The sequence below is a fragment of the Homo sapiens genome, chromosome 11 (genome assembly GCF_000001405.40).
Source record: "Homo sapiens chromosome 11, GRCh38.p14 Primary Assembly".
Classification (NCBI taxonomy): Eukaryota; Metazoa; Chordata; class Mammalia; order Primates; family Hominidae; genus Homo; species Homo sapiens.
In genome coordinates, this window is record NC_000011.10 from 73700212 (window position 1) to 73714701 (window position 14490).

The following is a 14490-nucleotide window of genomic DNA, read 5'->3' on the forward strand; positions in this document are numbered from 1 at the left end:
GTGAAGGCTAAAGTAATCACCTTATCATTATCATTTCTTCAGCAATTTAAACACCATACCACTTTCAAAAACAAAGTAATACTTATGCATTAGAAAAAAAGAATTTGGGCCAGGCACCATGGCTCACACCTGTAATTCCAACACTTTGGGAGGCCAAGGCTGGTGGATCACTTGAGGCCTGGGCAATATAGCAAGACCCATCTCTAGGAAAAATAAATAATTAGCTGGGTATGATAGTGGGGGCCTGTAGTCCTAGCTACTTAGAAGGCTGATGAGGCAGGAGGATTGCTTGAGCCCAGCAGTTCAAGGCTGCAGTGAGCCGTGTTCATACCACTATACTCCAGCCTGGGTGACAGAGCAAGACCCTGTCTCAAAAAAAAAAAAAAAAGTGTGTGTGTGGGGGGGGGGGGGGGAGGAGGGTAGTGGATGAGAAATCTAAGGAGTAAAACTATTTTTCAGAGGCTGTCTTTTTATGAAATACTGAATGGAATGAAACACATTTTACTTAAATATGCTATATAATACAAATGATCATGTTAGATATTACTATTTATGCTAGTTCTAGTACTGATTGTTTTATTTTTTAAATGACAACAATCTTCTGTAAGACAGAAGCAGGACTTTAGGGTCAAGTGCTTAAATCAAAATAAAGAGCAAAAGGGTTAAGCACAGGACATTTTTAAGTAAGAAGGCAAAGTAGTATTATTGGGTAAAATAAACTGTTTTAAGGCAAGGTTCTTGGGTGCTACAGCCTAGTCACTTGAATCATGATTAGATAATAAATGATGTAAAAGCTCTCTCACAATTATTTAAAAAGAAAACAGTAACTGTGAAAGCCCATTTTTAAGCTTTTATTATGTGATGTGCATTATAATCTAGTAAATGAGGAAATGGGGAAGAGGAATCCAGTTAGATTAGCAGAAAGCTAGGAAACAACTCTGTATATGGAAAAGTAGAACTACATGGTACCTATAGTACTGATAAATATATACCTTATATACAGAAAGACTTCTGTGTATCTTCTGGTAAAAAGGCATGATTTTGTCAAATAAAATGAGTACAATCAAAAATCAAAAATAGTTCTGCTTACAAACATACACAGCTGAGAAAACACACAACGGTAATAACAGGCATGTAAGACTGTGATTCTCAATGTTTTCCAAGACAGTGACTAGACTGTGAAATTTACCTCAGAAAGTCCTGAATACCAGCACAACTTCTGAATTGTGACTGACCTACATAGCAAGAACTCAGAAGAGATCAGAGATTATTTCACGATAATCAGTTTTATTTCCTTTATCAGATATTTTAATTTTTACCCCTATAAATTCAGTGCAGACTTTAGCTTTGGTAATAGCAGAGCAGCTTGTATAAGACTAACACTCTTGTACATACAGCAATGATTAACTCTGGATATGGGGACATTTCTTTTTTCTTTCGTGTTTTTTGTTTTTTATTTTGAGACAGGGTCTTGCTCTATTGCTCAGGCTGGAGTGCAGTGGTGTGATCTCAGCTCACTGCTGCCTCGACCCCCTGGGCCAAGCAATCCACCCAGCTCAACCTCCCAAGTAGTTGGGACTACCACGCTGGGTTAATTTCTGTGTTTTTTTGTAGAGACAGGGTTTCGTCATGTTGCCCAAGCAGGTCTCAATTGCTGGGCTCAAGAAATCAGCCTGCCTTGCCTTGGCCTCCCAAAAGCGCTGGGAATACAGGCCTGTGCAACCACACACAGCCCACGAGGGACAGTTCTTTACATACAAAAAGTCAACAGATAATGAAGACATAATGATCCTAAATATGTATACACTTACTAACATAACTTCAAAATACAAGAAGTAACAGCTGACAGAACTAATCAGCAAAGCGAACAATACATCGTTGTTGTTATAGGTTTCAATATCCCCTTCTCAGTTATCGACAGAACTGGACAAAAAACTAGTAAGGATATATAAGGTGTTTTTTTGTTTATTGAGACAGTCTTGTTCTGTTGCTTAGGCTGGAATGCAGTGGCGCAATCATGCCTCACTGCAGCCTTGAACTCCTGGGCTCAAGCAATCCTCTGCCTCAGTCTCCTGAGTAGCTGGAACTACAGGTGCATGCCACCATGCTCAGCTAATTTTCAAAAAAATTTTTCTACTTTTGTAGAGACAGGGTTTCACTATGTTGACCAGGATGGTTTTGAACTCCTGGCCTCAAGTGATCCTCCCACATCCACCTCCTGAAGTGCTGGGATTATGGGCATGAGCCGCTGTGCCCAGCCAGGCTATATAAGGTTTGAGAATGCTGTCAAACATGTTAACTAGTATACCTGATAACTGTAAAAAAAATTCTTTTTCCAGTACATATAAGAACATTCAATAAGATAGACCATATGATAGGCCATAAAACTTGTCTCAATAAATTACAAATGACTGAAATATTACAGAGTGTATTCTCTGACTATAACAGAATTAAATTAGAAGCCAGTAACAATTAAGATTATCTAGAAATGTCCCTAAACATTGGGAAATTAACAACATATTTCCATATCTTCATTGCTGTGGTCATTATACCTGTAAATACATTTACCAAAACTCATCTAATAGTCAATTTAAGATGTATACATTTCACTGTACATAAATGTTTATCTCAATTTTATATATATTATTATTTTTTTTTTTCTTGAGACAGAGTCTCGCTCTGTCACCCAGGCTGGAGTGCAGTGGTGTGATTTTGGCTCACTGCAATCTCCGCCTCCTGGGTTCAAGTGATTCTCTTGCCTCAGACTCCCGAGTAGCTGGGATTACAGGTGTATGAGACCACATCCAGCTAATTTTTTAATTTTTTAGTAGAACTCCTGACCTCAAGTGATCCGCCTGCCTCAGCCTCCGAAAGTGCTGGGATTATAGGCATGAGCAACCATGCCTGGCCTAATTAAAAAAAATTGGAAAAAAAAAATTCAACATGGGTTCAGGTGAATGCAAAGAAACGGAAGATGAACATGTATCTATGTCTAAGGTGTAGTCAAAACAGCAAATGAAGGGCAATTCTCCAAGTAACCTGGCTTCTCTAGGGCTTGTTCAGTCTAGCTAAGAAAATTCTTAAGACAGAACCAAGGACATGAAATAAATCTTATTTTTATGGCAAAACAATGCAGCTCTAAGAATCTGCTAAAAAAAAATAAAGTATATTATCATTCATTCAATGAACATTTATGGAGTTTGTTGTTTAGTGGGGAGGCAGAATAAACTGACAATTAAAAAATTTCTGGCCAGATACAGTGGCTCACGCCTGTAATCTCAGCACTTTGAAAGGCTGAGGTGGGCGTATCACCTAAGGCCAGGAGTTTCAGACCAGCCTGGCCAACGTGGCAAAACCCTGTCTCTACAAAAAATATAAAAATTAGCTAGACACAGTGGCATGCACTTATAATCCCAGCTAGGCAGGAGGCTGAGGCATGAGAATCACTTGAACCAGGGAGGCGGAGGTTGCAGTGAGCCAAGATTGTGCCACTCACTCCAGCCTGGGCAACAGAGCAAGACTGTCTAAAAAAAACCCAAAACAAAAACAAAAACAATCTAAATTAAAAGTAAGAAGGGCTGGGCGCCGTGGCTCACGCCTGTATACCCAGCACTTTGGGAGGCCGAGATGGATGGATCTTGAGGTCAGGATCATATAAAAATACAAAAATTGGCTGGGCGTGGTGGCATGCGCCTGTAGTCCCAGCTATTTGGGAGGCTGAGGCAGGAGAACTGCTTGAACCCGGGAGGCAAGGTTGCAGTGAGCCGAGGTGGTGCCACTGCACTCCAGCCTGGGCAACAGAGGGAGACTCCATCTCAAAAAAAAAAAAAAAATTTCTAACATCAGATTATGGTAATAGTTGTACAATGCTATAAATTTACTAAAAATCGACCAGGCAGAGGGGCTCATACCTATAATCTCGAAATCTTCGAGGCCAAGTTGGGAGGATCACCTGAGTCTAGGAGTTCAAGACTAGCCTGGGCAACATGGCAAGAACCTATTCTCTGGAAAAAAATTAAAAATTAGCTGGGCATGGTGGTGTGTGCCTGTAGTCCCAGCTATTCTGGAGGCTGAGGTGGGAGAATCACTTGAGCCTGAGAGGTCAAGGCTGCAATGAGCTGTGATCATGCCACTGCACTCCAGCCTGGGCAACAGAGCAAGACCACAACTCAAAAAAATAAAAATAAGAAGGGCCAGGCATGGTGGCTCACACCTGTAATTCCAGCAATTTGGGAGACCGAGGCAGGCAGATCACGAGGTCAGGAGATCGAGACCATCCTGACCAACATAGTGAAACTCCGTCTCTACTAAAAATACAAAAAAATTAGCTGGGCATGGTGGCGCTCGACTGTAGTCCCAGCTACTCGGGAGGCTGCGGCAGGAGAATCACTTCAACCCAGGAGGCAGAGGTTGCAGTGAGCTGAGATCGTGCCACTGCACTCCAGCCTGGCGACAGAGTGAGACTCCATCTCAAAAAAAATAAATAAATAAAAAATAAAAATAGTCTGGGTGCAGTGGCTCACACCTGTAATCCCAGCACTTTGGGAGGCCGAGGTGGGCAGATCACGAGGTCAGGAGATCGAGACCATCCTGGTGAACACGGTGAAACCCCCTATCTACTAAAAATACAAAAAATTAGCCAGGCGTGGTGGTGGGCGCCTGTAGTCCCAGCTGCTCGGGAGGCTGAGGCAGGAGAATGGCGTGAACCTGGGAGGCGGAGCTTGCAGTGAGCCGAGATCACGCCACTGCACTCCAGCCTCGATGACAGAGCGAGACTCCATCTCGAAAATAAATAATAAATAAATAAATAACAAAAATAATAAAAATAAAATTGGAAGCAATCAAACATTATGAAGATACTAGACATCAGTGGTGCTTACTGTATGCTATCTGATAATTCTAGAGTTTCTAAACCTATGAGACTACTTAGGGTCAGGGCTAGGGGACTACAGCAATGCCTTCTTTAGCTATTAACCAGGAAAAGGACAGCCTGTACCAGGATATATAAGCAACTAGCTCACACCCTTATCAAAATGTCTCTAAAAGAGAAAGCCAGCTGGGTGTGGTGGCTCACACCTGTAATTCCAGCACTCTGGGAGACAGAGGCAGGCAGATCACTTAAGGCCAGGAGTTTGAGTCAAGCCTGGCCAACAAGGTGAAACCCTGTCTTTACTAAAAGTACAAAAATTAGCCGGGAATGGTGCTGCACACCTGTAATCCCAGCTACTGGGGAGTGTGAGGCATGACAATCACTTGAACCCTGGAGGCAGAGGTTGCAGTGAGCCGAGATTGCACCACTGCACTCAGCCTGGCTGACACAGCAAGACCCTGTCTCAAATAAAAAAATAAATAAATATAAGAGAAAATATATATAAGAAATAGAAAAGAGAAAGCCAGATGAAGCTACCCACTGCTTTGTCTTAGAATAGTGGCATATGGCTAATATAATGGTATTACACAAATTATTTAACTGTCTGTGGCTCCTATGGGTTCAGTTACGTATCACTTACTACGTTCCATACACATTGCTAGGTTCTGGGAATATATAATTCCGATGAGAGAGAGAGAGAGAGAGAGAGAGAGAGAGAGAGATTTTCAATATACTATGGTAAGTAATGATACTGTTTTTGCTGAGATCAGGTCGGTGAAAACACATAAGAGAATCAGGTGTCACAGACAGGAGGTAGGATGGGAAATGTCAGAGAAAATGTTGCTGAGGAGCTGACATCTAAACTGAAACTTATAAGGAGTACAATTAGGAAAGGGAAAAAAAATGAACATTCTAAGCAAAGGAAACAAAAGCATGAGCACAGGTATCAAACCATGACCATGAAACAATATGTTAATGAGGAAAGAATCAGTGATCATTCAATATTACTTACATTATGATTCAAGGCATGGAGGGAAATAAATTAAAAAATATAAAAACAATATAAAGACTTCTTCCTAAAGCTTTAACTATTTAAATGATGTTACTGTTACCCTCTGTTGATCACCCTCAATTAAGAAAATTATTGGTCTAGGCCGGGCGTGGTGGCTCACACCTGTAATCCCAGCACTTTGGGAGGCTGAGGCAGGCAGATCACGAGGTCAGGAGATTGAGACCATCCTGGCTAACACAGTGAAACCCCGTCTCTACTAAAAATACAAGACATTAGCCAGGCGTGATGCAGGCACCTGTAGTCCCAGCTACTCGGGAGGCTGAGGTAGGAGAATGGCGTGAACCTGGGAGGTGAAGCTTGCAGTGAGCCGAGATCGCGCCACTGCACTCCAGCCTGGGCGACAGAGCAAGACTCCATCTCAAAAAAAAAAAAAAATTATTGGTCCATAAATCTTATAAATCTGGGACCACTACCCTACATGATATACAGCCTTGAAGAGTTAAGCATGTGAGTCTCTGGCTGACCTATCTTGTAGAAAATGGCTTGATAATGTGACATCTCCCTATATTTTCCTGCCCTCCCCCAAAAAGACCTGTTGTAAACACTGTTCAAACACCAGCATTTTATTAAGGATAAAGTAACCAGAATTTACTTTTACAACAAGAAGTGGAACACCATTACTGACAGTAAATACTTGCTTTCATTTATCTCAGTCTTGGCATCAAACTCTGAAATAAAATTTACCGGCCGGGCATGGTGGCTCACACCTGTCCCAGCACTTTGGGAGGCCAAGGCAGGCGGATCACCTGAGGTCAGGAGTTTGAGACCAGCCTGACCAACATGAAAAAAACCCCATCTCTACTAAAAATACAAAATTAGCTGGGCATGGTGGCGCATGCCAGTAATCCCAGCTACCCGAGAGGCTGAGGCAGGAGAGCTGCTTGAACCCAGGAGGTGGAGGTTGCAGTGAGCCGAGATCACGCCATTGCATTCAAGCCTCGGCAACAAGAGCGAAACTCCATCTCAAAAAAGAAAAAAAAAAAAAAAAAGAAAAGAAAATTTACCTTTAAAGCAATGTAGTAGGAATGTAGTGACAATATGGTAGATTTACCACTTTGCAGTAGTTCTATCCACGATCTGAAGTTTGCAAGTCTTTTCTCTTTTTCCAAAAACTATGCCACATTTATATTTTTCACTGTTTGAAAATATACTGCTAGTTTGTAAGGCCTGCTCTTGCCAGGTGGAAGGAAACCTATACACCAGAGAATAGAATACTCACACAATTATTTCATATTTTTTCAATTTGGTAACCTCAACTCAACTTACCTGCTTTACATTGTATCCAGCTTTTGCACTAGTTTCAATAAACATAACATTCAGCTCTTTGGCTTTCCTCTCTCCCTCCTCAATTGACACTTGCCTGTAAAGAAACAAACAAACTTCTTACTTTTGAGACATGAGGCAGTATTATAAAGATTATAAAGAAAGCTCTGAAAATAACTTTCCTTGATATAAGGACTGGTTATACAGGTCACATTAGTTTAAAAATTCATTAATCTGCCACACTCTTGAAATTTGTGTGTTTCTGTGTGTGTATACTTAACATTTTTTTAAAGACTTTTTTTTGTTACTGATTTGCTTTCACTTGACTGGGCTCATCCTGTAATTTTTTTACTTTTACAAACTTAATAGCTTGAGGATGCTCGAGCCCAGGAATGTTGAGGCTGCAGCAGGCCATTATTAGGCCACCACATCACTGCACTCCAGTCTGGGCAACAGAACCTGTCTCAAAAAAAGAAAAAGCTAAAAACAAAACAAAACAAAAAACGCTTAATAGCTTGCCTCTTTCCCTTAATATCAGACCACAGGCTTTTAGCCTTAAAATTCAAATCTTTGTGTAAAACAATTTTTATGGCTAAACAATTTCTGTCAATTTGCTCCTATAATTTATATAACCATTCCCAAACTATTAGAATGCAAGTTGCTTTCCAATTTTACACTACTATGAAAATTGTTGCCCTAAATATCTGTGCTTAATATTTTGTGCACTGCAAATCATTTCCTTAGGTTAGATTTTGTGGTTTTCTTTTTTTTGAGACAGTTTTGCTCTTGTCACCCAGGCTGGAGTGCAATGGCGCGATCTCAGCTCACTGCAACCTCCAACACCTGGGTTCAAGCGATTCTCCTGCCTCAGCCTCCTGAGCAGCTGGGATTATAGGCGCCCACCACCACACCTGAATAATTTTTGTATTTTTAGTAGAGACAGAGTTTCACCATGTTGGCCAGGCTGGTCTCAAACTCCTGACCTCAGGTGATCCACCCATCTCAGCCTACCAAAGTGCTGGGATTAGAGGCGTGAGCCACCGTGCCCAGCCGATTTTGTGGATTTCTGTAAGTGAAGTAAGTGAGTCAAAGACATGTATGGTAAAGCCTCTAGATACAAAATATTAATACTTTAATATTACCTTTACAGGGTATTTTGTGATGCATTACAATTAGCACTATGTCTCAAATTGTGAGATCTCAAGTGCAAGATTATGTCATTTATATTGGTATTCCTAATGCTTAAGCTGGCAGATAAGTATTCCATAAATATACAAATGTTCTAATTAGCTAGATTTAAACTATCAGCTGACAAACCCTGCTTCCTACAACACAGAAAATGGGCAATGGAAGAGAATTTCCACAAGCTTCCATTTACTTGCAAGTGTGCCCTTATATCCTACCTCTAGTCCTATTACTATGAAAGAGTTGTCCTTATTCTCAAAACTTACATCTATGTATTAGATCCCACTCCCTTCTTGCCTACAAGAAATTATTATTCTAGAATTCTCCACTCCCTAAAAACAAGAACATTCTCTTACATAACACTCCAACTGTTAAGATTTTACATTTGCTTGTGTTATCTTCTCATTCTCTCTGTGTATATAAATTTTCTGAAACACTTTTAAAAAACTGTTTGAGAGTAAACCGCCAATCTGCAGACCTTTAGCCCTAAATACTTCAGCAGTGTGAATTTCCTAAAAACAAGGACATTCTCTTATATAACCACAGTACAATTATTAAATCTGGGAATTAACATCAACATCATACCATCATTGAATCTATAGGTTTTATTCTTGTCAATTATCCCAATAATGTCCTTTACTGCCAGTTATTCCAATGTCCTTTATAGCAAATTAAATACTTCTTTAGAAAGAAACTTTCTCAATTATTTGGTTATCCTGAGGTACTTAGAACAAGGAGGGAGGGAGTGACGGAGGGAGGGAGAGGAAAGGAGGATAAATGCTCGAGTCAGTCTCTGGCATCTTCCAAAGGGGACCAATGAGTTTTCTCCTTAAGTATATTATTATTATTATTATTATTATTACTATTATTATTATGACTCGTGGATTTAAACATGTTTTATAGTAATTACTGATTTTCAAGTTTTCCTACAGTTTGACCAGTAGAGCTTCTTTGAGTTGGCTCTCCTGAATCTGACATAACCTCAATGGTCTTTAATAACTTCTTTGATTTATGGTATGACATGTTCCAGCCCCACTGTTTACATTTTCTGGCCCAGATGCCTAATTTGTCACTTCTTCAAGTAGCCCTGGTTCCTTTGGAAAGAAACCGTATTTACATGTGGTAATGTGGGCTCATTCCTCCTGGTTTAAATCTTTTCAGTAGACAGAGCTAGAAAATATTAAAAATTTTCAAATGCTAAAAAATGTAATGAATTCATGCATATATATACATATATACACATATATATACATATATACATATATACACATATACATACATATATACATATATATACACACACATATATACATATATATACACATATATATACATACACACACACACACATATATATATATTTTTTTTTTTTTTTGAGACGGAGTCTTGCTCTGTCGCCCAGACTGGAGTGAAGTGGCACGATCTCGGCTCACTGCAAGCTCCACCTCCCAGGTTCACGCCATTCTCCCGCCTCAACCTCCGGAGTAGCTGGGATTACAGGCTCCCGCCACCACACCCGGCTAATTTTTTGTGTTTTTTTTTTTTTAGCAGAGACGGGGTTTCACCGTGTTAGCCAGGATGGTCTCGATCTCCGGACCTCGTGATCCACCCGCCTTGGCCTCCCAAAGTGCTGGGATTACAGGCGTGAGCCACCGCGCCCGGCCCCCATGCTTATATTTTTTATATTTAACTTTATTAATCTTATATCTGTATTTCCATCTCCCGTGTCCAAAATGCCAGTTCTCAATCATTAAGCAAAGTATTCATTTATTTTATGCAGAATACAGACAATCATTTTGAAATAACAATATCCAACATCATCACCAACATGTTTACTAAAAACAGTTAAGATCTAGCCGGGTGTGGTGGCTCACACCTGTAATCCCAGCACTTTGGGAGGCCAAGGCGGGTGGATCATTTGAGGTCAGAGTTCAAGACCAGCCTGGCCAACATGATAAAACCCCATCTCTACTAAAAATATGAAAATTAGCTGGGTGTGGCGGTGCATCCCTGTAGTCCCAGCTACTCAGGAGGCTGAAGCAGGAGAATCACTTAAACCCAGGAAGTGGGGGTTGCAGTGAGCCGAGGTTGTGCTATTGCACTCCAGCCTGGGCAACAGAGAGAGACTCAGTCTTGAAAAAAAAAAAGTTAATTTTTTTTTTTTTTTGAGACAAGGTCTTGCTCTGTTGCACATATAAGTGCGGTGGCAGGATTGTAGCTCACTGTAACCTCGAACTCCTGACCTCAAATGATCCTTCTGCCTCAGCTTCCTTTGGGAATAGAGGTGTAAGTCACCATGCCTAGCCCATTTTCTTTAAACTTATAATTTATCTTTCCTTTTTGGCCCTGATTTATAGTTTAACGGCTATACAGGTCCCAGTCCCTCATTTTGGCCACTCATGGGCCCACTAATTGGGACTCAAAGGCTTTCTGCTCAAAGGCATAGATGCAGAGGAGCACACTTCCACTAGGCATGCATTTACCACCTGGTATCTCTGAAGCAGTGGCTTCCCTTCAAACTCTGCGGGCACCACCAGGACTTGAAAGATGGACATACAGCACGGTGGTATGAGGGCTGTATCCTCTACCTCTACCATGCTCTGCCTCTAGGTCCTGCTGAAGCTTCTCCTGGAAGTACTTGATGCTGAGCTCCACAGCAGCAGTCCAGCTGGGATGGCAGCCCAGTAGGGTCCTCATTTTGCTTTAGGTAATGTGTATATACATCTGTATTTCTCTCTTAAGTAAACTGTACCATATGTTACATACTACTTCACCTTGCATTTTTTCACTTAGTCATATACCCTGAAGATTCACTCCATAGTAATATATACATTCTTCATTCCTTTTTGTACCTGTCTAGTACTCCTTTAAAAGGATGTTCGTAAGTTTGTCAAACCATTTTCCTTTTGTGGGCACCTGCGTTGTTTACAGTCTTTAGATATTACAAATAGTGCTAGGTATTACAAATAGTGCTATAGGAAATAGACTTGTACATATGTCTTTTTGTACTCTTACCAGTGTATCTTGAGGAGATTCCTAGAAGTGGGATTTCCAGGTCAAAGGCTAAATGTCGATATTAGATATTGCCAAAAATCAACTCTCTCTCCTCCATAGGAGTATTACCATTCTGCATTGCCTCAGTAATTTATGAGAGTAACTGTTTTCCTTATAGCCTTGCTATCAGAAGATTTCAACAAACTTGGAATTCTGGCAGTCTGAATCTGAGGCAAAAATATTTCTCAGTGCAGTTTCAATCAGTACTTCAGTAAGAGCAAGACAGAGCTTCTTTTCAGATAATTAAGAGCTATGTTACTTTCTCCATGAACCGTTCATATTTCTAGTCAATTTTTCTATAGTGATGTTTATCTTTTTTCTTCTCTATTTTTAGAGGCTTTTTTATTTGGGATATTAGCCATTTTTGATACGATTTACAAATACTTTTCCCTAGTTTGCCATTTGCTTTGTTTATAATGTTTTAAGTAATCAAACTTTACATTTTCCCTTATTTTGTGCCATAGCATTAGTATCATTAAGAACCAGAATTCAGTTAGTCCTTATTTTATTTTCACAATTAAATCTCTAATCCCTTTAGAATTTGTCCTAGTGTAATATGAGAACTTGATCCAATTTTATCTTTTCTATACACTTAACCAGTTACTCCAATCAATTTATTACATAGTTCATTTTCCCCAGTGATTTGAGGTACCACCTTCATACTTATTTTCCATATGAAACTGGGTCTGTTCCTAGCTTTTCCTTTTTTTTTTTTGAGACAGTCTCACTCTGTTAGCCAGGCTGGAGTGCAGTGGCACAATCACAGCTCACGGCAACCTCCACCTCCTGGGCTCAAGCAATTCTCCTGCCTCAGCCTCCTGAGGAGCTGGGATTACAGGCACATGCCACCACGCCCGGCTAATTTTTGTATTTTTAGTAGAGACGAGGTTTCACTAGGTTGGCCAGGCTGGTCTCAAACTCCTGACCTCAGGTAATCCACCTGCCTTGGCCTCCCAAAGTGCTGGGACTACAGGCATGAGCCACCACGCTCGCCTGTTGCTAGCTTTTCTACTCTGTTCTACTTTTCCATAACTTTTCATGCAGCAAGACCACATTGCTTTAATTATAGAGGCTTTTTTTTTTTTTGACAGTTTCACTCTGTCACCCATGCTGGGGTGCAGTGACACGATCTCAGATCACTGACCTCTCCCTCCTGGGATCAAGTGATTCTCATGTCTCAGCCACCCAAGTAGCTGGGATTACAGGCATGTGCCACTTCACCTGGCTAATTTTTATATTTTTAGTAGAGACAGGGTTTCGCTATGTTGGCCAGGCTGGTCTCGAACTCCTGGCATCAAGTGATCTGCCTGCCTCGGATTGCCAAAGTGCTGGGAGGTGTGAGCCACCACGCTGGCCAGATTTTTCTTTTACTATTATTAATATAAATAGGGTCATCTTGTTCATCTTATCTTATAACTTCAGAGGTGAGAGGGGTATTCTGTCTTGAACCTACTGTAGTGAGATTTTCAACCCCACCACTTCAGTGTGACTACTTGTCAACAACATTAATAACCTCCAAACTTCTAAATCCAATGGTTAATTCTCAGTCTTCATTTGGTTTGATCTTACAGAGCATTTGGCATAGTTAATAACTGTCTTCTCCTTAAAACATTTATTTTCATTTGGCTTTCAGGGCTGGGTGTGGTGGCTCACGCCTGTAATCCCAGCACTTTGGGAGACCAAGGCAGGTGGATCACGAGGTCAGGAGATCAAGACCATCCTGGCTAACACGGTGAAACCCCGTCTCTACTAAAAACACAAAAAATTAGCCGGGCATGCTGGCGGGTGCCTAGTCCCAGCTACTCAGGAGGCTGAGGCAGGAGAATGGCGTGAACCCGGGAGGGGGAGCTTGCAGTGAGCCAAGATTGCGCCACTGCACTCCAGGCTGGGAGACAGCGAGACTCCGTCTCAAAAAAAAAAAAAAAAGAAAATACTGTGTGCATTTAAATCTTCTGAATCATAGTCAATCTAATAGGAGAATATGCTCTCTATGTATTCAAACTTATCAATCATTCCCTTTATGGCTTCAGGATTTCATGTCATGCTTATAAAAGCCCAAAATATAAAGATGCTTTAAAAAATTAAGTCTTTTACCCATTTGAAAATCATTTTAGTGGAACGAACAAGCTGTAATTCTTTTAAATGTGAACAGTTGAGAGATGATAGTCTGGCAAAGATTACCAAGAAAGATGGTAATTTCAACGCAACTGACAAATGTTACCTTAAAGAAAAATTATTATAAATATAATTTCAGATAGGGCTTGTTGGCTCATGCCTGCAATCCCAACACTTTGGGAAGCCGAGGCGGGTGGATCACCTGAGGTCAGGAGTTCGAGACCAGCCTGGCCAACATGGGAAAACTCCGTCACTACTAAAAAATACAAAAATTAGCCAGATGTGGTGGCAAGCTCTTGTAATTCCAGCTACTCGGGAGGCTGAGGCAGGAGAATCACTTAAGCCTGGGAGACTGAGGTTGCAGTTAGCCAAGATTGTGCCATTGTACTCCAGCCTAAGCAACAAGAGCAGAACTCCATCTCAAAAAAAAAAAAAAAAAATATATATATATATATATATACACACATATAATTTGACAAGTTTCTACCATTTGTGCACACAACTGAAATATTAAGCAATAAAAAAATCCTTATAAGCATCCTCCTCAGATAACTCTGGCTATAAAGGGAAACAATTCAGATATACAATTTTTCTATTTAAAAATGAAGAGGCCGGGCGCGGTGACTCACGCCTGTAATCCCAGCACTTTGGAAGGCCAAGGCAGGCGGATCACAAGGTCAGGAGTTTGAGACCAGCCTGGCCAACATAGTGAAACCTCGTCTCTACTAAAAATACAAAAAAATGAGCCGGGCATGGTGGCAGGCATCAGTAATCCCAGCTACTCGGGAGGCTGAGGCAGGAGAATTGCTTGAGCCTGGGAGGCAGAGGTTGCAGTGAGCCGAGATCGCGCCATGGCACTCCAACCCAGGTGACAATGCGAGACTCCAACTCAAAAATAAATAAATAAATAAAATAAAGGTACTGGCAGGGC

At 40.8% G+C, this 14490-nt stretch overlaps 1 protein-coding gene across 4 annotated transcripts in view; it reads right to left on the reverse strand.

The window, feature by feature from the left end:
- The window catches only part of RAB6A (RAB6A, member RAS oncogene family), an 85437-nt gene that overhangs the window by 24574 nt on the left and 46373 nt on the right, over window positions 1–14490 (reverse strand). For 3 of the 4 annotated variants that reach the window (NM_198896.2, NM_002869.5, NM_001243719.2), the window contains exon 6: window positions 7209–7302. The exons of the other annotated variant lie outside the window; for it this stretch is intronic. In NM_198896.2, coding sequence (NP_942599.1) covers window positions 7209–7302 — 94 coding nt within the window. The remainder of the gene's footprint in view (window positions 1–7208; window positions 7303–14490) is intronic. 4 annotated transcript variants of the gene reach the window in all.